The sequence below is a fragment of the Homo sapiens genome, chromosome 20 (genome assembly GCF_000001405.40).
Source record: "Homo sapiens chromosome 20, GRCh38.p14 Primary Assembly".
Taxonomy (NCBI): domain Eukaryota; kingdom Metazoa; phylum Chordata; class Mammalia; order Primates; family Hominidae; genus Homo; species Homo sapiens.
In genome coordinates, this window is record NC_000020.11 from 3,579,648 (window position 1) to 3,603,991 (window position 24,344).

At 40.0% G+C, this 24,344-nt stretch overlaps 1 protein-coding gene across 4 annotated transcripts in view; it reads left to right on the forward strand.

Moving 5' to 3' along the window:
- ATRN (attractin) overlaps positions 1 to 24,344 on the forward strand; it is a 180,101-nt gene that overhangs the window by 108,630 nt on the left and 47,127 nt on the right. For all 4 annotated transcript variants that reach the window (NM_139321.3, NM_001323332.2, NM_139322.4 and 1 more), the window contains exons 16-23: positions 2,488 to 2,707; positions 4,251 to 4,436; positions 5,000 to 5,233; positions 11,522 to 11,659; positions 14,832 to 14,925; positions 16,730 to 16,782; positions 18,259 to 18,353; positions 21,299 to 21,377. In NM_139321.3, coding sequence (NP_647537.1) covers positions 2,488 to 2,707; positions 4,251 to 4,436; positions 5,000 to 5,233; positions 11,522 to 11,659; positions 14,832 to 14,925; positions 16,730 to 16,782; positions 18,259 to 18,353; positions 21,299 to 21,377 — 1,099 coding nt within the window. The remainder of the gene's footprint in view (positions 1 to 2,487; positions 2,708 to 4,250; positions 4,437 to 4,999; positions 5,234 to 11,521; positions 11,660 to 14,831; positions 14,926 to 16,729; positions 16,783 to 18,258; positions 18,354 to 21,298; positions 21,378 to 24,344) is intronic.

The window sequence follows — 24,344 nt, forward strand, 5'->3', positions numbered from 1 at the left end:
TCAATATTCCATGATCACATTTTGTCATTTTTAGTCTGGAGTCATAAATTGTGATCCTACCGTCAGTTAAGTAGACTCATAGAACAAAGCTCTTTCAGCAGTTTCAGCTGTGGTACAGAAACGTTTAGTGGAAATGTTCTTACCAAGCAGGGAGGAGTTGAGGGCAACACTTCCTTGGGTACAGCCTCCTTCATGTGAAGGTATGGAAATGTGGCCTGGGTCTCGGCTGCCTGTGGCCTCTGTGTACCACCTATAGGGCCATTCTGAGACTGGTAGGAGGTGCCCTGTATTTAGTTTTCTCCAATTAGTCCCTTTTTTCAGTGCAACTTAGATGGGGTATGGACACTCAAACATTGGTGACATATTCTTAGTGTGTTTACCTCAGGCTACTGTGACCACATTTGGTATTTCATAATATTTTGATAGCTTTTTCAGATTTCAGAATCTCCATTGGTGACTGTCTCTGTTGTTTCTCTTTCCATGTCCAAATGTGGGTCTCTTCCAGCATTCCATCCTTGGCTGGCAGCTGACCTTTCCCATAGTTATTCACTCCCTCAGAAAATGGATGGCACCCAGCTTTGCTTATTACCCTGGTGTCTCTAACAATGACTCTCGAGTCCACAGAAGTTAAAAGGGTTCAACCAGGTGGCCACAGATATACTTCTGGTACCCTTTCTCTCTTCCTTAGGTTTTCTAACTCTAAACGTTTCTGGGTATTCTAATCTGCTGTGGCCACGTTTATGAAACAGAAATTCACAGTCTTAATGATAAGACTGACAGATGAGAGACAACTGAAGTGTAATGTCCTTCCACAGCTATACCTCTAGATGTAGCCCAGTTAGTAGAGCCCAGATTTTTATGGAAAAACAAGAAAGGACACCTAGCCTAACCCTTAGGACAGAGGCTGGCTGGTAGAAAGCTGGAAGGAGGTGACCCCTGCAGGTGAGAAGGAGTGAATTAGGATGTCGAAGACGGAAGGGCTTTCTGTGATTTAATTAGTGCCCCCATCTGTGAGATGTAGAGGGAGATGATTAAGGGAGTGGCTCTTTGAGTGAGCTGCAGGTAAGTTTGCATGGTTGGCTGCAGGCTGGATGGGAGGGGATTTTTATAGTTGAGCCTCAGGAAGGAACCAAGGCCAGACCCTGCGAGGCCATGGCTACAATAGTAATGGATTTGAATTGTATCGTGAAGGCAAAGAAATTATTGAAGGGCCTTTAAAAAGTATTTTTAATTGTCTTTCTTTCTTTTGGATCTGTTTATTTTTAGGTCTTTTAGTAGGCATGTGTATTTTTTCCTCTCAAAAATGGAAATAGGCTGGGTGTGGTGGCTCCTGCCTGTAATCCCAGCATTTTGGGAGGCCAGTGAGGGAGGATTGCTTGAGCCCAGGAGTTCAAGACTAGCCTGGGCAACACAGGGAGACCTCGTCTCTACAAAGGAAGTTTTTTTAAAGAATTAGCCGGGCATGATGGTGGCACATACTTGTAGTTCCGGCTACTTGGGAGGCTGAGGCAAGAGGGTTGCTTGAGCCCAGGGGTTTGAGGCTGTAGTGAGCCATGATCATGTCCCTGCACTCCAGCATGGGCAACAGAGCGAGACCCTGTCTCAAAAGAAAGCAAAGGGAGGGAAATACAGTATATCTTTTGTTTTATAACTACCAAAATTAGGAATACTTACCATTTCTTGGCTAAACTTTATATTTTGATTTTTAAAACTTGTTAAAAATTGCAATGAGAAGGAAATTTCAGGAGAGCAGAAGACAGACTGTCCCAGGTGTCACTGTCCTATTATTCCCTATAAAATCCAGTGCCAGGATGGATGAATGGATAAAGCAAATGTGGTATAAGTTGAATATCCCTTATCTAAAATGCTTTGGACGAGGAGTGTTTCGAATTTTAGAATATTTGCATTATACTAACCAGTTAAGCATCCCTAATCTGGAAATCCAAAATGCTCTAGTGAACATTTTCCTTCAGCATCCATCATGTTGGCACTCAAAAAGTTTTAGATTTTGGAGTGTTTTGGATTTCAGATTAGGGATACTCAGCCTGTGTTTGGGGGTAGCCATCTCTTCATATAGACATTTCAGAACTTAAATATTGCTTTGCTATAATTTCTGTGAATTTTTGATATATTATCTTCTCTGAGCTACATTTTTATCCTTTATAAAATGGCCATATTGAAGTGATGATCTATCCTAATCTACCATGGCTGAGTCAAGGGATAAAGAGGTTTTCCTATGTCTGTGGGGTATACTTAACTTGGTGGTTTTTATCTAGAAGCTTGTTTTGGTCAAGATGTTGGTTATATTCAGGCCAGGCATGGTGGCTCATGCCTATAATCTCAACATTTTGGGAGGCCAAGGTGGGAGGATCACTTGAGCTCAGGAGTTTGAAACTAGCCAGGGCAACATGGCAAGACTCCATCTCCAAAATTTAAATTAAAAAAAGATACTATCTGTATTCATAGTTGTGTCTCTTTTGCCTTTAGTCCAAGCTCACCTTAACCCCATGGGTCGGCCTTCGGAAGATCAATGTGTCCTACTGGTGCTGGGAAGATATGTCCCCATTTACAAATAGTTTACTACAGTGGATGCCGTCTGAGCCCAGTGATGCTGGATTCTGTGGAATTTTATCAGAACCCAGTACTCGGGGACTGAAGGCTGCAACCTGCATCAACCCACTCAATGGTAGTGTCTGTGAAAGGCCTGGTAAGTTCACAGGTGAATTAGGTGGTATTCAGAGTTTATTGTGAGAGAAACCATAGGAGGCATAGTTCATTGCTGAGATGTGTGAAGTAGTCATGAAAACAGATGAAGTATTGATTTCAAGCATGCAAAGAAGAGTATAACCCAGATTTCAGAAGCAGAAGGAAATATTCTGGGACCCTGAATAGTTTTAATTATAAGCAAAACTAAAAATAACTAACACTACTCGAAGAAACTGATATTCTAATTAACAATGAGATTGATAGGTTTATTGACCAGAAAAAGTATTGAGAATTGCTCTGAAAAGCAAATTTATTGGTGTTGGCAGAGAAATGCTGTGGAAGAAGAAACAAAAAAGGAAAATAAAAACAAAGAAAAGATTAGTAAAGCAAGCAAGTGACTGCAGGGACAGTGTTCAGAAAGGTAGTGTCAACAGGGAGAAAAATGATGAGAGCAGTTCTGTAAGCGAGGACAGAAGCAACCCAGAACTACGCGAGAGCTGCAGGAGAGTACTGAGCAGACAGACACTCGGAGTAGCTTCCCAGCTTTCAGTCTCTCTGGGCTACATTTTGGCTAACTAAAGGCAGGCCCAGGGGTAGCTGCTGCAGCATGAAGACAACTCAAAATAAGCCTCCTCCTCCTGCAGAGGGACTCACAAGCAGTCGGTGGAATTGTGGATTATTTTGGGAGGCTGGACTCCATTTGCATTGTGTCCAATTTTGGGAAAGTAATTTGTCTGAGGAATTACAGAGGTATAGGAGAGAATTCATAGCATTGTAGATTTCTAAATATTGATTTCTAAACTTCTCTAGGGGAGCTGCCCAGCAGCCTTTCAGAATTCTGAATCCTTTGTTGAACTTAATGAATGCCGTAGACCTTCTTCCCTCCAAAATTGCAAACATGAGATTTTACATATTCAAGTGGATTGTAAAACCCCTAAAGTTCATCCTGGGTCCCCAAATTCTAAGGGGCTTACAGCCCTACTTTTATGGAAAGATTCACTGTTTCCTCATCTTTGTCCTTAATGCTCTTTGAAAAGAAAATTTATTTTTTCCACAAGTGTGTAAATACACTTGACTAAACAGTACTTGATGACTTTTATTGTTTTCTATTTTCTCTCATTTAATTGATTTCATGGCACATTAATGGGTCATCACCCACATTTGAAAAGTCTTGGCTGGGCACAGTGGCTCACGCCTGTAATCCCAGCACTTTAGGAGGCCAAGACGGGTGGATCACAAGGTCAAGATATCAAGACCATCCTGGCTAACATAGTGAAACCCCATCTCTACTAAAAATACAAAAAATTAGCCAGACGTGATGGCGCACCCCTGTAGTCCCAGCTACTTGGGAGGCTGAGGCAGGAGAATCACTTGAACCGGGGAGGCGGAGGTTGCAGTGAGCCGAAATTGTGCCACTGCACTCTAGCCTGGAGACAGAGTGAGACTCCGTCTCAAAAAAAAAAAAGAAAAGAAAGAAAGAAAAGTCTTTGACCTTAGCGGACATGGTGGGAGCTCTAAGTGTCTCTCTTGGGTTTCATTCCCAGCAAACCACAGTGCTAAGCAGTGCCGGACACCATGTGCCTTGAGGACAGCATGTGGAGATTGCACCAGCGGCAGCTCTGAGTGCATGTGGTGCAGCAACATGAAGCAGTGTGTGGACTCCAATGCCTACGTGGCCTCCTTCCCTTTTGGCCAGTGTATGGAATGGTATACGATGAGCACCTGCCCCCGTAAGTGAAAAAGGGAGCCCTAGGCACTTATGCATGCCCTCTGTATAGGCAACAACTCAGCCATGAGGCTGTGCTGTCAGCCTCTGAACATTTTAGAAACAAGACTGGACATGACCTCTGCTCAAACCTGACCAGAGACTGCCATCGAGACCTTGCTGCCTATTGAGAACCTTCATACAGAATCAGGCACATTGACAGTAAATAAATGTAAGATAGATCACAGAGTACAGAAATAACTTGTCCAACTTCAGTGTCATATTGCTCAATCCATGTAATATCTCCATATCTGAATTTCCTAATTTGTAAAGTAAATGCTTTCCAATAGATAATCTCTAAGGTCCCTTTTGCCTTCAACATCCTGGGATTGAGAGAGGAGGGAAGGGTCATCTCTGTTATGTATTGGGCAAAATACTGGGCTCTTTACATTCATTATCTCTTTTAAATAATCAAGACAGAATAATATTTTTGACTCAAGCCAGTTGAATAGTCTGTTAAAAAAAAAGTAAATACAGTGAATTCAGATCTACCTGTGATAGTCAATTGCAACTTTTTTTTTTTAATAGCTGAAAATTGTTCAGGCTACTGTACCTGTAGTCATTGCTTGGAGCAACCAGGCTGTGGCTGGTGTACTGATCCCAGCAATACTGGCAAAGGGAAATGCATAGAGGGTTCCTATAAAGGACCAGTGAAGATGCCTTCGCAAGCCCCTACAGGAAATTTCTATCCACAGCCCCTGCTCAATTCCAGCATGTGTCTAGAGGACAGCAGATACAACTGGTCTTTCATTCACTGTCCAGGTAAGATGCCTTGCATATCCAAATTCAAGTGTTTCACTACTGATTTATGAAGAATAAAACCTTGAAAGCTACGTTGTGTATATGTAACTCCCTGCCCTCAGCCCCTTTCCTTCCTCCTAATGGTTGGTACAAGAAGGAATAGACCAGAAGCTGGTCCAAGGCCTGACCTGGACCTGCTGAGAGTGGTGGTGGGTTCCTAAGAAACCAATTCTAAGAAATTGGCCTTTGATTCAGACTTGAAGTGACCACTCAGCAATGTGTCTGTGGGTTTCTAGAACAGTTGGGAGAGGCTGGGCTGGTGCAAAGACTCCTCAGAGATTAGCAGTCAAGAACTTCTCTAAGAGCCTGCCATTGACAACAGGGCTGTTTGTGAGGACTTTGTAAGGGAAAGTCCACTGTAAACAAAGCTAAAAGGGCAGAGACAGACTGGGAGAAAATACCTGCACTGCATGTAACAACTGATGATCATCCAGAATATGTAAACTCCCACCCTCCAGGGAAAAAATAAGAAGCTAAATGTGAACCCAACAGAAAAAGTGGTTATTGGAGATAAAGAAGCCATTCTCAGAAAAGGAAATAGAACAGGAAAATGTAAACTAACACCAGGAACCAATTTTTTGTCTACTAAACTGGATCAAATTTTCCGTGTTCCCTTTTTTCCATACTAAGATATGGGGGACCTGCAATTCTATTTTTAATCTACTAGGAGTTAACTTTTTAACGAAATATTTAAATCTCTGCTTTTTCATGAATATCACGAATATATCTGGTAAAATGACAACCCAGAGAATGGGAGAAAATATTTGCAAAGTATATATCTAATAAGAATCCAATGTCCAGAACACGTAACTCTTAAAACTCAACAATAGAAAGACAACCCAATTAAGAAATGGATAAAGGATTTAAATAGACATATGTCCAGAGAAGAAATACAAATGGCCAATAAGCACATGAAAAGATACTCAATATCATTCATCATTACCAAGAAATGCAAGTCAAAGCCACAATGAGATACCACTTTACACCCACTGAGATGGCTGTAATCAATAAAACAGGTAATAACAAGTATTGGAAGGATATGTAGAAATTGGAACTCTCATGCAGGTTGGCAGGTCCTCAAAAAGTTAAATATAGAGTTATCATACGGCCCAGCAGTTTTACTCCTAGGTACATACCCAAGAAAATTGAAAACATATGTTACCCAAAAACTTGTATATAAATGCTTATGCTTATAGCATCATTCTTCATAGCATCATGCTCAAAGCAACATTATTCATAATAAGCAAAAGTGAAAACAAGCCAAATACCTGTTAGCTGGCAAATGGATGAACAAAGTGTTGTATATTCATACAGTGTAATGTTATTTGGCAATAAAAAGGAATGAAGTACTGACATATTTTCTGACATGGATTACCCTAAAAAAACATGCTATGTAAAAGAAGCCAGGTGCAAAAGATTATGCGTTGCATGATGCCATTTATATGAAATGTCCAAAGACAGAAAGTAGATGTTTAGTGGTTTCCTAGGGCTGGGCATGGAAATGAAGAATAATAGGCATGAGGTTTTCTAGAGTAGCTGCAGCATTATTTTCTGACATGGATTACCCTAAAAAAAATGCTATGTGAAAGAAGCCAGGTACAAAAGATTATGCATTGCATGATGCCATTTATATGAAATGTCCAAAGGCAGAAAGTAGATGTTTAGTGGTTTCCTAGGGCTGGGGATGGAAACAAGGAATAATAGGCATGAGGTTTTCTAGAGTAGCTGCAGTATTATTTTCTGACATGAATTACCCTAAAAAAACATGCTATGTAAAAGAAGCCAGGTACAAAAGATTATGCATTGCATGATGCCATTTATATGAAATGTCCAAAGGCAGAAAGTAGATGTTTAGTGGTTTCCTAGGGCTGGGGATGGAAACAAGGAATAATAGGCATGAGATTTTGTAGAGTAGCTGCACCATTTTATGCTCTCACCAACATCATATGAAGGTTCATATCTTTCCACATCCTTGCCAATACTTGTTACTATCTTTTTAATGAAAACTGTTCTAGTGGATGAGAAATGGCATCTCACTGTTGTTTTCATTTGTATTTTCCTGATAACTAATGAAATTGAACATCAACTTCATTAGTTAGCCTTTTGTATATCTTCTTTGGAGAAATATTTAGTCAAATTCTTTGCCCATTTTTCAGTTATGTTGTCTTTTTTATTATTGAGTTGTAAGAGTTCTTTATGAATTCTGAAGTCCCTTATTGGATATATTATTTGCAAATACTTTCTCCCATTATATGGGTTTCTTTTCACTTTCTTAATATGCCTTTTGAAATCAAAAGTTTTCAGTTTTGATTAAGTTCCATGTATCAATGTTTTATTTTATCCCATGTGCTTTTTGGTATTGTATCTAGAAAATCAGTGCCCAAGTAACCCAGGATCACATAGATTTGCTCCTAAGTTTTCTTTGAAAAGTTTCATAGATTTGTGTGTTACATTAGGTCCTTGATCCATTTTGAGTTAATTTTTGTGTATGGTGTGAGGTAGGGGTCCAAACTCTCTTCTTGCCTGTGGATGTGGTCCTGCACCATTTGTTGAAAAGATTTTTTTTTTTTTTTAACCATTGAATTTTCATGGCACATTTGTTGCAGATCAGTTGACTGTGAATCTAGGAACTTTTTTCTAAGCTCTCATTTTTGTGCAGTTGACCAATGTTTCTCCTTTTGCCAATATTACACTGTTTTGATTACTGTGGCTTTGTATAAGTTTTAAAATTGGGAAGGCTAAGTCCTCCACCTTTGTTCTTATTTTGCAAGACTGTTACAGCTATTCTGGGTTTCTTGCATGTTCATATTAATTTTAGGATGAGCTTGCCATTTTCTGCAACAACAAAAAGCCAACTGGTTTGATAAGGTTTGCATTGAATCTACTGACCAATTTGGGGTGTATTGCCTGTTTGTTTGTTTGTTTGTTTGTTTGTTTGTTTGTTGAGAGAGGGTCTCACTCTGTCACCCAGGCTGGAGCGCAGTGGTGCTATCTTGGCTCACTGCAGCCTCCGCTTTCCCAGGCTCAAGTGATTCTCCAGCCTCAGCCTCTCGAGTAACTGGTACTACAGGCATGAGCTACCAACACCCAGCTAATTTTTATATTTTTTTAGAGACAGGGTTTCGCCATGTTGCCCAGGCTGGTCTTGAACTCCTGAGCTCAAAGCAATCCTCCTGCCTCTGCCTCCCTAAGTTCTGGGATTACAGGTGTGAGCCACCACGCCTGGCCCTTGCCATCTTAACAAGGTTAAATCTTCTAGCCTATGAACCTGGAATGTCTATTTATTTACCTCTTTACTTTCTTTTGGCATTGTTTTATAGTTTTCAGTGTACATCATTGTCTTGTTCCTTTTTTTAGGGGAAAATAATTCAGTCTTTATTAAATATGATATTTGTTTAGTTTTTTTTATACATGCCCTTTATTGGGTTGAGAAAGTTTCCTTCTATTCTAGTTTTTTGAGGGTTTTGTAATGAATGAGTGCTAGATTTTGTCAAACACTTTTTCTGTGTCTACTTAGATGATCACGAAGTTTTGTTCTTTATTAATACTATGTATTACATTAATTAAGAATGTTAAACCAGTTTTGCATTCCTGGGATAAAGCCCATTTAGTCATGATGTATACTTTTTTATCATGATGTATATTTTTAATCTGCTGTTGGATTCTATTTGCTAGTTGGGGATTTTGTGTGTACATTCATGAGGGGGATATAAGTTTGTGGTTTTCTTCTTTTGTGATTACTATCTGGTTTTCATAGCAGGGTAGTACTGGCCTCCTAGAGTAAGTTGGAACGTATTCCTCCTCCTCTATTTACTGGAAGAGTTCGTCAAGGATTAGCATTAATTCTTCTTTAGATGTTGATTGAATTCACCAGTGAAACCAAATGGGCCTGGCCTTTTTCTTTACAGGAAAATTTTTAATTATTAATTCAATCTGTTTGTTATAGATCTATTCAGATTTTCTTTTTCTGAGTGAGTCAGTTTTGGTAATCTGTTTTTCTAGGAATTTGTCTATTCTCAGTAATCAAATTTGTTAACATACAGTTCGTAGTATTTTCTTTTGTTTTTTTTTTTTTTTTTTTGAGACAGAGTCTCACTCTTTCACCCAGTCTGGAGTGCAGTGACGTGATCTCTGCTTACTGCAACCTCCGCCTCCAGGGTTCAAGTGATTCTCCTGCCTCAGCCCCCCAAGTAGCTGGGACTACAGGCGCACGCCACCACTCCTAGCTAATTTTTTATTTTGTTTTGTTTTGCTTTTTTTAGTAGAGACAGGGTTTTACCATGTAGACCAGGATGGTCTCGATCTCCTGACCTCGTGATCTGCCTGCCTTGGCCTCCCAAAGTGCTGGGATTACAGGCGTGAGCCACCACGCCCGGCCAGTTCATAGTATTTTCTTGCAGGTTGCTCTTTAGCAATATGTAGTCTCCTGTTTAACCTGTTAACGATTTTTTTTTCTGTCTAATTTGGTTTTATTATTCTTTTACATTTTGCAAGGGCTCTAAATATTGTGAGGGTTTTTTTTTTTAAGAGCTTGCTCTCTTATATTGTGGATGCAATAATTTAAGCCTTATTGAATGTACTAAAATTCGTATTTTTCATTCTCTCATATTTCTTGCATTAACCCTTCCTTCAGGATTTGTTGCTGTGCGTGTTTATCCTGGTGGTATTCGGAGATTGAGAGTTTTCTTATACTGGTTAATCCTCAAGGTTAATTTGTATTAATAACTAAATGTGTAGATCTGTCAATATTGGTCAGTGGTTGGGTGTGCTGAGCTGTTGTGAAAGTGTGGTATGATGTCCTGGAAAAGCTAGCAAGCCAGCCTCAGGACACTCCAGCTCTGGTCCACTTCGACTGTTGTTGACTGGTGTGCGCATCTCCCTCATTGGAAGAAGGAAGGAGCAATGGACCTGGGTGGCTGGGTGCAATTAGCATGTTCATGGGTGTGGCAAGTGCCTCCCAGCCTTGGGTGGTAGGGCCACCTAAAGATAGCTGGCACATTGCCTTGAGTTTTCTTTCATTCTTGCTTGCTTGCTTGCTTTTATTTTTGAGATGGAGTTTCACTCTTGTTGCCCAGGCTGGAGTGCAATGGTGCTTTCTTGGCTCACTGCAACCTCTGCCTCCCGGGTTCAAGCGGTTCTCCTGCCTCAGCCTCCCAAGTAGCTGGGATTACAGGCACCTGCCACCACCTCTGGCTAATTTTTTGTATTTTTAGTAGAGACAGGGTTTCACTGTGTTGGCCAGGCTGATCTCGAACTCCTGACCTCAGGTGATCCACCTACCTTGGCCTCCCAAAGTGATGGGATTACAGGCATGAGCCACCACACCCAGCTGAGTTTTCTTTCAAACACTCAAATACTAACAGGTGCATAAACAGAACAAGTACAAGGCTATGGAAGGTTGCCAAGATGGTGAAAAACTGCATCACACTGATCAACCAAGGCAGATCTGAAGAATCAGATTTTGCTTACAGTGCAGGTTGTGCACTATGTAAATGTTTCCCCCATCCTATTCCCCCCTAGAGTTCTGCAGTGCACAGCCTGTGCAGCTGTCCTGAGCAGTCCTCAGAGGTCCAAGCTTCATATACCTTTCTAGTTGTAAAGCCCTATATCCATTAGGAGTCTTAGTAATCCCACTTGTGGAAATGTTTATCCGTAAAGATGGTTATTTTTCTAATAATGAAAAATGTAAAGCAAACTAAATATTAGAATATAAGGGAATGGTTAAATAACTGTTAAGATTCATCAAAATCATTCTACCATTTGAAGTTTTGTTTATAATTGATGAAATAAGGTGGTAAAATAGTTGTGATCTAAGTTAAGAAAGGTGAATATTAATATGAACATAATTGTGCAAATTATGTTCTTCTGGTATAGAAAAATACCAGAAGAAAATATATCAAATGTGAACAGTGGTCTCTGAGTGGTTGGATTGTATATGATCTTTCCCCATCCTTCTATTTTTTAAGTATACTGTCATGAGCATACGTTATTTTTTAGTGAATAACAACAAAAAATATTTTTTAATATCACTATGGGCTTTCACCTTGCTGTGATACATTTTCAATTTTCCTGGACTAGCTCTTCTTTGATATTTTTTATCTTATTTCTCAAATTAGTTTTTAGTGGGCCAGTTTTGGTGATTTATCAAAGATAAATTAACTACAGAGATAGTTGCAGATAAATCTTATTGAACTTAACTACATGCAGTTCTTCCATGGTACAGACCCCTTGAAACTCTTTTTCTTGCAGCTTGCCAATGCAACGGCCACAGTAAATGCATCAATCAGAGCATCTGTGAGAAGTGTGAGAACCTGACCACAGGCAAGCACTGCGAGACCTGCATATCTGGCTTCTACGGTGATCCCACCAATGGAGGGAAATGTCAGCGTAAGTCAAATTGGTCAGGTTTACTCATGGCAAATCGGTGTGGAACACAGCACTTCTATTTGACTTGAATATCTAGGAGGAAAAAAGCCACTTTGTTTTGGATACCACATTTCTTATTAAATCATACTGGTCAGAAGCTCAGCTGAGCTGGAAGAAAGAACCAAGGTTTCAGTGTAGCTGGTTAAAGCAACAAGCCAAAAATGTTAGAGTCAAGCCTTTGACCACATTCTGCAGTGGTATAAGCAAGGGCCCAAAACCAGAGAAAGTGCCAACTTCCCCTGTTTCCTTTCCTCCCATTGAACAGGGCACAGGTCAATAGTCAGAGGGATCAGCTCAGACATGGGAGTCTTGGGGCTCATCTCACTGAGGCCCGGACAAAAGGTTCCAGCAGTATATGGACACTAAGGTTGTGGGAAGGGCAAGGTGTAAGGGCTAGGACTGGGAAAGTCCTGGGTTGGAGTCAGAGTTAGGAAAGTGTCTTCTGAATTCCCCCTCCTCCCCCCATCAGGAGGCCTTGGTGCCTGAAGAAGACCTCAGCCCAAGGCCTCAGATAGGGAGCCTGGGAATAAAGGCTCCAGGGCTAGGAATGTGAACATGTGAAGGAGCGTGACCCGTGAGGTAGACCTGAGTCCTTAACTGCACCTCTCTCAGAGCCCCACACTTAGGCCCACCTCACAGGTCATGCTCTGCCAGGTAAAGCCTGTGGCATTGCCTGTGGTCAGGCCTGAAAAATCACACACGGGCTTTTTAACCAGGAGCCAGACTCCTCAATACTTATAGTGTATTTTAAAGGTTTAAATAGTCCCGTGTTGGCTGGGTGTAGTGGCTCACGCCTGTAATCCCAGCACTTTGGGAGGCCAAGGCAGGTGGATCACTTGAGGTTAGGAGTTTGAGACCAGCCTGACCAACATGGTGAAACCCCATCTCTACTAAAAATAGAAAAATTAGCTGGGCATGGTGGCGGGGGCCTGTAATCCAAGCCACTCAGGAGGCTGAGGCATGAGAATTGCTTGAACCTGGGAGGCGGAGGTTGCAGTGAGCTAAGATCACGCCACTGCACTCCAGCCTGGGCAACAGAGTGAGACTCAGTCTCAAAAAAAAAAAAAAAGAAAAAAAAAAAAGTCCTGTGTTTCCCCATTTATGTCAAATAGAAGCCTGCAAGCAATAGGACATTTTATTATGAGAACAAAAATTATGACAAGTGATATTAATGAACTGCTTTTTTTATTCTAGTTTCCAGCCAAAAAACATAATGAGTACTATAGTCGAAAGACTTTTCAAAGTTCTGAGCAGGAAAAGTAAACAACATAGGGAAATCTCTACCTACTCCCCAGATCCCAACTCCAAACTCTTTGGCATGGCCCTTCAGAATCTGATCTGATCCAAGACCAGCCAGGAGAGAGGCAGCGTTCTAGCTGTGTGTCCCTTACTCTCCCTGGGGTTCAGTTTCCTCCTAATAATAGGGTGGTTGTTAAGATGAAAGCAGAGCAGCACATGACACATGTTCCACAGGATACTAGTCAATACTTAGTAGATGTGGGCAATTCTTATTACCCTTCTAATGCCATTCTCCACTACTCCTAAGTAAAAGTTCTTGCTCAGATTAAAAGGTATTTGGTGAAAATGTTTTCCCCACTCTTTGTGAATAGACTTAATCCGTTAGACAGTAACCAGAGTACCTAACAGAGTGGTGGAGTGTACAAGGCATTGTGCTGTTACCCACTCAAGACACAGGTGCTTTTATTATCCCCAAGATCAAGTAAACTGCCCAGGGTCTCACAGTGAGATGTGGCCAAGCTAAGAACCACGCCCAGTCTGTGCTGACCTTAATTACTTGGCTGGTTGTGCTTCCAGATGCCATCATACCCACATCAGCAGCTGCTATCTAGAAGCATCACATTTTCCTCTGTGAGATCTACAGGGCCTGAGTACAATTTGCCTTATTTTTCAGAGTCCTAATCCACGGTAGAAAGCGTGGTGTTTATAGAATACTGCAGATGGCACCAAGTCTTTGATGTTTTCTTCTTAAAATTGTATAGTCCTTAGGTAACGATAGTAGCCATGATTTCTTGAATGCTTACTGTGTTTGAGACATCATATACATATCATCACAAACACCCCTATGAGATAGGTACTGTTGTTATCCCCATCATATGGACAAGGAAGCTGAAACTCAGAAAGGTTAAGTAGCATTCCCAGAGTGACAGAAGAGCCAAGTAGAGGACGCTGAATTCAAACCCAGGCAGATGGACGTAAGGCCTTTGCTTTTCACTATACATTACACACCTTCCCCCAGTCTCAACAGAGCCAAGTGTCAGACACTCATGATTCTGACTTCAGCATCCATTCTGTTAATCTCTGCACTATTCTGTTTTATAGTTTTCTTTGGGTGATTCCAAAGGATTTATTTTTAAAGCATACCTCTCTCCAGCTGAATGCCTTTCATTTATTCACCAGCAAAACAGGGTATAAAGTGAAAAGGTGTTGACCAAAAAGGCTTTCACTTTTTTCAACTGGAGTATAATATTTATCACGGCTTGTATTACGTTGGATGATAAAAGGAGAGATGTTGAGTTGGCCAGATGAGGGAGATGGGAAGAGCTATTTTCTGTAAAGGCAAAGGAAAAGGTGAAGCAAGGGTGGCATGTCCTGAGGGCCCCTAAAGCGCTGACCTTGGCATTGGATCCTGGTTCTGAGCCCTGCGGTGATTCCAAATGTGACCATCGTGGAGAAGGCACCTCAGCCAAGACCAGCCCTCCTTCAGAGGACAGTCACCTCCAGAGCACCTCCCTAGGGGCAGCAGCTATGTCTGTGTCCCCACACCCAGCACCTGGCATTCTAGAGATGCTTCACAAATATTTATTGAATGAATCAAAGAATCATAGCAGTGAAAAAGAGAGTCTATTGAAAAGATCAAAATAGTCATTGCTTCAGAAGGCAGTGGGTACCAGCATTCACTTTCCTCCTGTCCTTTGTTTGGTTCCTTTAATGTTACCTATACATTATTATCATTAGCTGAAAAATCATGAATCTTACCCATTGAATGCTCGTACTTTAATCTGTCTTTCCTACTGAACTCAATTCAGATAAAATTGCTTGTTTTGGAAAAAGTCTCCAATAGTCAGAATTTTTTAAGCCAGTTGTGACCTCTGTTCCTTTTTCTTCTCTGCAGCATGCAAGTGCAATGGGCACGCGTCTCTGTGCAACACCAACACGGGCAAGTGCTTCTGCACCACCAAGGGCGTCAAGGGGGACGAGTGCCAGCTGTGAGTACCATACTCCCTGGACCACCAGGGAGGACCAAGAGGCTGTGCAGCTGCCTGAACCCCACCCTGAGAGCCACCCACTTCCCTGTGTCTTGTTGCTGTGGGCTCTGAGGGATCCCTGGGTTGATTAGTTTGAAATTTTGCCCATTCTATTTCAGACAGGTCAGTCCCCAAAATGAGGAGGTCGTCGAGTTAGCAGCAATTCCTTAATGGCTCTTGAATTCACATTTTTGTTTAAATGATACTGACATTTCCTGGGTTGTCCATTTGGAGTAGTCATTTTAACTTCAGCAACTACTTGATTTTTGTCATGTCAAGAGATTATACTCTTTCCCAAAGAGTAGAGATGGAAGAGCTGGTGTTTTGGTGATGGCATTTATTTGGCGTTTGGTTGTCTGATTGTGGAAATGATCCTCTTACCTTTAACATTTCCCATTACTCTAGCATTTTCCTTGTTGAAGCATGTCAGGCATCTTCCTGGAGAGGGTTTGAAGTCCCCATCCATGAGGATGCAGGTGCAGCAGCATCAGGCATGTTTAAGGTTTCAGACCTGGCCCTGCCTCCACTGAGCAAGGTGCTCTTGAGGCAAATCACTGTTCCCCCCATCTGTCAGTAGTGGGACTAGCAGTAATTGTTTTTGGTGTCCTGGTAGGTTGAAACAGGAAGGATAGTTCCTCAATCAATGTATACCGGGCTGTCTCACTGGGAAACCTCATAAAATGCATGTATCCGCATTTACTCATTCTCAAGAAAAAACTTAAAAAGTGTTTAGTGTCAAAACACTGAGCTGATTAATCATTGTAAACATCATTATTTCTTAAATAACAGTAGTAATAATGCCACCAGTGATTGAGACATCATTGCTGGTGCTACTCAGCAGGGTTTGGTCTGTCTACTTTTTAGTTTATATCTGCATATATGTTTACTAGCTTCATGTTGCCCTAAAGCCAATATGTGAAGAAAAGTCTAATCCAAGGTTAAATTTAACTTTTAGGTCCACATTCCCTTAAACAGAAAAATGTCATCGAGCAAAATTAATCACTCTTACCCTCAGTTAGCTGATGCAACAAAGACATGAGGTGGCATCAAGTAAGACTTTCAAGTTCCTTCGAGATCGCAGATGTAGGCAGGTGCTGCTCATCACCCTGGCTAAAGGGACACAGCATACCTGCCTGGGAAAGGCCATTACCCACTTCCCGCCCTTTCCTCTTCATGCATAGCTGTTGTGTTTACCTAAATGCTTCATGAAGTGGGAGGCTGGGTTTTGCTGATGTTTATAGATGATCTGTATGGGGAAATTGTTTTCTGAGTAGAACATATTTTTTTTCTACAGACTGGTGAACACTTGTTCCAGGGTTTAAAAAAACAGTGATTCTTGGTATTTAGTCTTCTCTCACTTGTGTTTAAAGAAGAGAATTAGTTTATCCAGGGAACATAGGAAAGAAGTGAGAAATTAGTATTTGAAAAATGTTTTGACTGCACTTTTAGAAGAATATGTAGTCCACACAAAATTGAAAATGTTTTTCATTATAGTAAATAGGTTTATTACATTTGGATTTCTCTCATTGCTTTGGCAAATGCTTGTCAATTGTCCTCATATAGTTGGTGTGTGAACTGCTGAGCAGTCAGTATTGAAGCGTTCATGCATGCTCTTCCTAGACTGCCTGAGCTGAGTTATGGTGAAGGATGCAATTATAATGGCTCCAGACTATCTGTACTTTATATAAAAGGATCTGTTTGGTTTTAAAATGAATTCAGTTTCTGTTTTAAATAGCAGTATAAAATAGTCTTTTTTCCCCCCCAGATGTGAGGTAGAAAATCGATACCAAGGAAACCCTCTCAGAGGAACATGTTATTGTAAGTGGTTTTGCAATTCTTATTTCTAGAAGCAAAGTAGTTCAGTAAAACTTCATTGTTTAAACGGGTTTGAGAATAGTAAGTGCTATAAGACTATAGCAGCCACCAATGAAGTGTTCCCAGACTTGATATGTTTACATTCTGTTAAGTTTACTACATATAGGAGCACTGTTTTAAGCTGTTTTAATTGTGTTTGGGGTTAACGTTAATGTGTCCATAGCAGATAGCAGGAGAGAGTAGAGAGGCATGCATCTTTGTCTATCCACATTTATGTTCTCTTAAAACTTTACTTTATTTGCCATTACCTAGTTGGGGTCATCATATTTCGTGTTTTAGGATGTAGATCAAAAACAGAATTCTTACAATATGGTTGAACTTTTTGTCATTCTGTCTGGAACTGATTTGTGTTAACCACCTTGAGGTGAAAGGTGAGTCTGACAAGGTGACCATGTTTTTATGGGTAAATGTGTTTTCTCTTTATGGGAGAATCCACATGGTAGACCAGAGTACGGGACCAGAAAAAAGGAGTTAATGTTATGGCATATCCATTGTAATTATATACCTGCTGTACTGGGTTGAATAACATCCCTTCAAAATTCATGTCCACTTGGAACCTGTGAATATGACTTCATATATATATATATAAAACTTCTAAAAGAAAACAAGAGAAAAACATCTTGACCTTGGGTGGGGAAAAGTTGTTAGATAGGATTCTAAAAGCATAATTCATAAATAAAAAGTAGACTAATGAAACTATATAAAAATTTAAAACTTGTAGGAAAAAACCATCCAAAACATAAAAAGCCACAGACTAGAGAAAATACTCGCACATCATCATATATTTGATAAGGAGTTTATATCCAGAATACATGAGGAACTCTTACAACTGAATAAGATGACAATTCCAGTTAAAAACAGGCAAAGATTTGAAAAGACATTTCATGAAAGAAGATATTACAGTGGCCAATAAGCACATTAAAAACGACTTAACATCATTCGTTATTTGGAATGGAGATTTTAAAACCACAGTCAGATACAGCCCTAAAGTGATTAGAATCCAACGCTAATGCCATGGCTTTTTAGAAGACAGTGGTAATCTCATGTCTGCTTCTGCATTCAGTCTGTTGCAGTACATCTTTTTGGTTAAACACATGAAAAAAACCTGGCCTTACCAGGCATGCAGTTGGAAAAGGGTATAGTGATACCCTTTTAATAGCCTTTTCAGATAATTATGGACGTTACTTGATATTATGCTGAAACTGGACAACTGGTCATTTCTTTAAAGCGGTTTGATGGGTTAACCCAAATAAAATGATACTGCCCACAGACTTGATTTTCTTTGAGGAACCTGGGTACAGCTGAGTTAAAGTGCTTTCCTCGTTACTTAATTTATAAGAAAAGCAGCCTGTATCTCTAAAGACCTGTTCTATTTTGTGTGTGTTTAGTTTTTAAATATGCATTTCTTTCTTTCCATAGATACTCTTCTTATTGACTATCAGTTCACCTTTAGTCTATCCCAGGAAGATGATCGCTATTACACAGCTATCAATTTTGTGGCTACTCCTGACGAAGTAAGATTTTTTAAAGTCTTCCTATTTTGTTTTGAATTTGTATGGATCTTTTTCTTGGTCATTACGGATGGACGTACTGCCTTAACAGTGCTCTCCAGACTGGAGTACACGAGATGATCTCTAGAGGTATAGGAAAGAAATGTTAGACTCTACGTTATCTCCTTTCCACATAAAAGGCAAAAGTGATGTTAATAAGATTTACCAGGATCTTAGACACAGACTGACATTGATTCCACGCATACTTACTCTGCCTGTCAGCCCATCATGGCCTCATACAGAAAGGGGACTCCACCATCAGAGGGCAGATAGCAGAGCCTGGGTTTACTCTCTCAAGAGTGACCAGAGGCTTAAAGACACTGCTGATTGAAATGCCAGTGATGCAGCCCCAATCAGACAGCAAGGGAGGGGACCCCAATCAGACAGCAAGGGAGGGGACCCCAATCAGACAGCAAGGGAGGGGACACTCTGCTCCTAGAGTGAGTTCTTAGCCTCATTAGGAGGCAAAACAGCAAAGGCTTAGTCGGGTCCATTAAGAAGTTAGCCAGGAATAATTTAAATTGTTAAAATATGTATGTAAAATGTGGATTTTTTTATCTGCTGTCATTAACGATGAAGCCCAACCTGCCTTAAGGTATTACCTAGTGGTAGAAGGAAGGCCACACTGCGGGACATTTAAAACTGAAACATACAGAACACGAAGATGCACCTGTACAGTTTCTTCAATGAAATATAAAGTCATGCAGTACCCACTTCAGTATTTAAAGAAATTTTGCTAAACATAATGGTAAATTATTTAGGAACTTCCTTGGAGATTTCTTACTTCTCATGAACATACACAAAGCCATTTACCATTACAAAATTCCATTAACAATAAATGTGACAAATAATACATGGAAAACAATATGGCAGTAAGACAAAGTATATTGCTTTGTTAACAAATGTTATCTATAAACATTGCTAAATTTAATTTTAAAAGTAGAACAAAGTCTATAGTGTGGTATGTTTACTATACAAGTAAATGAAAATAGGATTTGTTTTTAATATTCTATTTCAAAGATAAAATTAAGAAAAAATGTACTAGAAAAGATACATTCTCAAAAGTAAATTGCTTTTTAAGTAAAAATAATAAATTACTTTAAATGAATTATTTTATGGAAAAACTATAGGTATTAATATATCATTTGAGTGGCTGTATTGACTGGAATTTTTTTCTTAACGATTTTAGAATAAGATTTTAACAAAAGTACCATATATGAAATGTATTCACTGCCTCATAAGCAAGCGTTTGAAGTGCTCAAAATCTTTCAGGATATACTTCATGCCATTAATGTCATTAAAAAAATAAATATAGTAGAATCTTTGTAATACTTCTTAACCAGGTGGGAAGCAACCATGAAAGTATTTGGACCTTTCTGGATTTCCCAGTTTATCTTACGACAGAATACTTACTAGAGTTATCCAAATGCATATGTTCTGTCCTCTATAAAACCACAAGCATTTTAAGTTTATTGATTCTTTCTGTGGAAAGACATATAGTTGACCCTTGAGCAATACAGGTTAAAACTGTGAGGATCCACTTACACGTAGACTTTTTTCAACCAAGCGTGGAATGAAAATACAGTATTTGCAAGATGTGAAACCTGAGTATACAGAGGGTGGACTTTTCATATGCAAGGGTTCTATGGGCAGACTGCGGACTGGAGTATGTGTGGATTTGGGCATGCTCAGGGGGTCCTGGAACCGATGACCCACGTATACCAAAGGATGACTGTAATTGTTAGTTGTGTGCTGCCAGCAAATACTAAATACAAATAAGTAAACACTTGAGCTGTCCTTTCAAGATGAAGGTGAGGTCTTATCAGTAAATGAGAAGGTAAATGCTTTGTGAGAGAAACTTCTGGTTTAATGATCACATTTTAAAAATAGCTGTTTGGAAATGTTTCCATTGTTGTGATTTTGTGCTATTAAAATGATCAAAACAACACCCTTAAAAATCTTATTCTAACCTCTCAAGATCTTTTAAAAATGAATAATTTCAGTACAGTCGGATGCATCTGTAAAAGATAAAAATATAACATTGATTAGTTTGCAAAAATAATTGTTTGACCCCAGTTAAGAGATGTACTAGTCAAATTTCAGTTTGACTAATTATTAATGTTATAATTTACCTAACATCACCAACAGTACACTTCCTCCACTGGCTTAACAGATTCCTCAGCAATATCTTTATTAGTCATTAAGACCAAGGATCAAAATAAATTAAGTTAGATTAGCCCTGTGAACTGCTATATCTCTAAGTGGTAGACAAGGTTTTCAAAACTAAGAAGCCATACTCAATCATATTTCTCTTGAAATAATATTTTTAGTAAGAGAAAAATATTTTTCAAATCATGAATATAATAAAATTATTTTTTAAATTAAGTACATTTCAGCTCTATATGCCTTTTTTAAAGGCTGTTTCCAGTTTTGGAGAAGTTTTACACTGTATATAATCTATGAGTTTAGAATTATATGGGTTTCAGTTATAAATAAATATAATTTTGGGCACTTGATCAAGTGTTTTATTGGTAGGAGTGAACTTCAGACATTTGAAAACAGCTGCCCAGAGAATCCTTAGGAGGGTGATTCCCCAGCACAGGTCAGGAGATGCAAATCACTGTGCTCTGATAGGGGTCTTTTTAAAAGGCACTTTCTCATGCAGTTAGGCATTTGATAAAGCATTAAATTATGTATACTTTAATGGGAGGGAATAAAATTTTATTGGCATATATTGCTTGTATTAAGGAAAATTGGTTAGAAATTTTGCTAACTCTTCTGTGAGTTTCTCTAAAGACATCATAAAATGTTTGTGATTAAGAACATTTAGAGGAGTAAACTTTATTGCTTTATTTTAAAATCTAGAAATTGTTTTAATTAATTTTCTAATAATTTGTACCGCTCATCAGCAAAACAGGGATTTGGACATGTTCATCAATGCCTCCAAGAATTTCAACCTCAACATCACCTGGGCTGCCAGTTTCTCAGGTAAAGACATACCTAGAGAAGACCCCGCAAATGAAGGTGTGGTAGATTAAGAAATGTAATATAGGAATTGAGAAAGCGAGCTCAGGAGACAGATTGGTTTGAAACCCACCCTTGCCACTTACTAGCTATGAGACCTTGAGCAAGTATCTAAATCCCTCTCTAAACCTTAGCATTATTTTATTCATCTGTAAAGTGAGGATAATGATACTTACCTCTTAGAATTGTTGTATAGATTAAATTAGGTTATACCTACCAGAGCTTGCTGTGGTGTCAGGCTCAGTGTGTGGTTACTACCCTAGCCCACCACCACCATTTCTGTTCTTGCTGTGGCCACTGGCACTACCATCATTGTCTACATTCGTGCTTCGGAAGTGAAAAATTCAAATGATTCGTTTCAATAAATGAAAACATTTTAAATAAAATGAGATTTTAGTAGGTACAGAGAAATGTAACTTGGGAATTACATCAAGCTCTAAAAGCACAGCTCTTGCTGTCTGCCTTACTGTGATTCACTGAAGATCTACTGTATAGAAAATCTAAAGAAATAAAGGATGAAGGCCAAGTGCTGTGGCTCATGCCTTTAATCTCAACACTTTGGGAGACTGAGGCAGGAGGATTGCTTGAGCTCAGGAGTTTAAGACCAGCCTGGGCAACATAGTGAGACCCTGTCTACAAAAAAAAAAAAAAAAAAAACCCAGGTGTAGTGACTCATACCTGTAATGCCAACTACTCAGGAGGCTGAGATGAGAGGATCACTTGAGCCCAGGGGTTGGAGATTGCACTGAGCCATGATCGCACCATTGTACTCCAGTGTGGGCAAACAGAGCAAGATCCCATCTCTTTAAAAAAAAAAAAAAAAAAAGAAAAAAGGATAATCACTACTTAACTTGATAACTCAACAAGTAGATATGGGTTTGAAATTTGTCCATTAAATTTACTTGCACCGTGCTGTTAGGCAAGTTACTTAAGGTTTCTGAGCCAGTTTCCTCCTGTATAAAGTAGGATAGTAAAAACACCGTCCTGGCAGGGCGTGATAGCTCATGCCTGTAATCCCAGCACTGTGGGAAGCCAAGGTGGGAAGATCACCTGAGGTCAAGAGTTTTGAGACCAGCCTGGCCAACATGGTGAAACCCTGTCTCTACTAAAAATACAAAAATCAGCCAGGCGTGGAGGCACGTGCCTGTAATCCCAGCTACTCAGGAGGCTGAGGTAGGAGAATCGCTTGAACCTTGGAGGTAGAGGTTGCTGTGAGCCGAGATCACGCCACTGCACTCCAGCTTGGGTGACAGAGTGAAACTCCATCTCAAAAAAAAAAAATAAAAAAACACCTTCCCAAGTAGAGTGATGTGAGAATTAAATGAGATAATAAATGAAGTACTCAATATAGTGCTTGAAATGTGGTAAATGGTAACTATATTTTATCATTATTACTATTACAATACTGGGTTTTTTAAAATCAAAAACACAAAGCAATGAGATTGATGCAAAATAAGAATATTGCCTTGTACACGCCACTTACGTTTATCATCTTAAAACATTGTGTAGAATTTGAGAAAAGTTCAGAAACTCTCAATGAGGAGGGACTTTTAAGAAAAAGTCTGAATTATCAGAGTATTTGGAGAAAGGCAACATCTCCAGGCATGTGAAAGATTTGCAATGAGCCGGGCGGTGGCTCATGCCTGTAATCCTAGCACTTTGGGAGGCTGGGGCAGGTGGATTACCTGAGGTCAGGAGTTCAAGACCAGCCTGACCAACATGGTGAAATCCCGTCCCTACTAAAAATACAAAACTAGCTGGGTGTGGTGGGGCGTGCCTGTAATCCCAGCTACTTGGGAGGCTGAGGCAGGAGAATTGCTTGAACCTGGGAGGCGGAGGTTGCAGTGACCCAAGATTGCATCATTGCACTCCAGCCTGGGCAACAAAAGCGAAATTCCATCTCAAAAAAAAAAAAAAAAAAAAAAAAAAAAAAAAGATTTGCCATGAGTGTCTCAATGAAGACGTGATAATGTGGGCTCTAGTCACAGGGTCTAACTCAGACATGGAAAAAAGTCCATTTCATTAATCTTTATCGGCACTTGAATTCCTGGCTAAGGGAGAATGTGGAACATTGAAGGACTCTCTGGGAATAGGATGGAGTTATACCAGATTAGGGGGACTTAAATACTGTGGTAGCTGGTGGTAGAAGGGAGGACTGAGTGACCCCTTGAACCCCTCCTCCCTGCTACAGTGGGTTAGGCAGTGAGCGGTACATCAGCATTACTGGCATGGGAGTCTGGCGCATTGCCAAGGAGGTGTAAAGGGGAAATGCAAAGGAATTGAAGTGGTGTGGGCAAAGTGAATGCCAGTGCTTGTTAATAGGATTCTAGTGGTATCTGTATTTTCATGATCATGTGTGTCACCTGTTTGGGGGTGGGGCAAGGGTGGAAGGGAGTTACATGGATTCCTGGTAAAACCATTTTTCTTTCTTTCTTTTTTTTTTTTTGAGACGGAATTTCGCTCTTATTGCCTAGGCTGGAGTGCAATGGCGCAATCTTGGCTCACTGCAACCTCTGCCTCCCAGGTTCAAGCGATTCTCCTGCCTCAGCCTGCTGAGTAGCTGGGATTACAGGCATGCGCCACCACGCCTGGCTAATTTTGTATTTTTAGTAGAGACGGGGTTTCTCCATGTTTGTCAGGCTGGTCTCAAACTCCGACCTCAGGTGATCCACCCGCCTCGGTCTCCCAAAGTGCTGGGATTACAGATGTGAGCCACCGCACCCGGCCAGTAAAACCATTTTGGTTAGGGGCATAGGCTTGTATATCAGCCTGCCCAGCTTTAAATCTTATCTCCATTTCTTGTTGGCTGTGTGACTTGAGGGAAGTTACTTAATTTCTGTGAACCTCAATTTCCCAGTCTATAAATGAAGATAATAATAGGGCAGCTGTGAGGATTAAATGAGATTGAGCTCTTAAAGGCTATTACTGGAA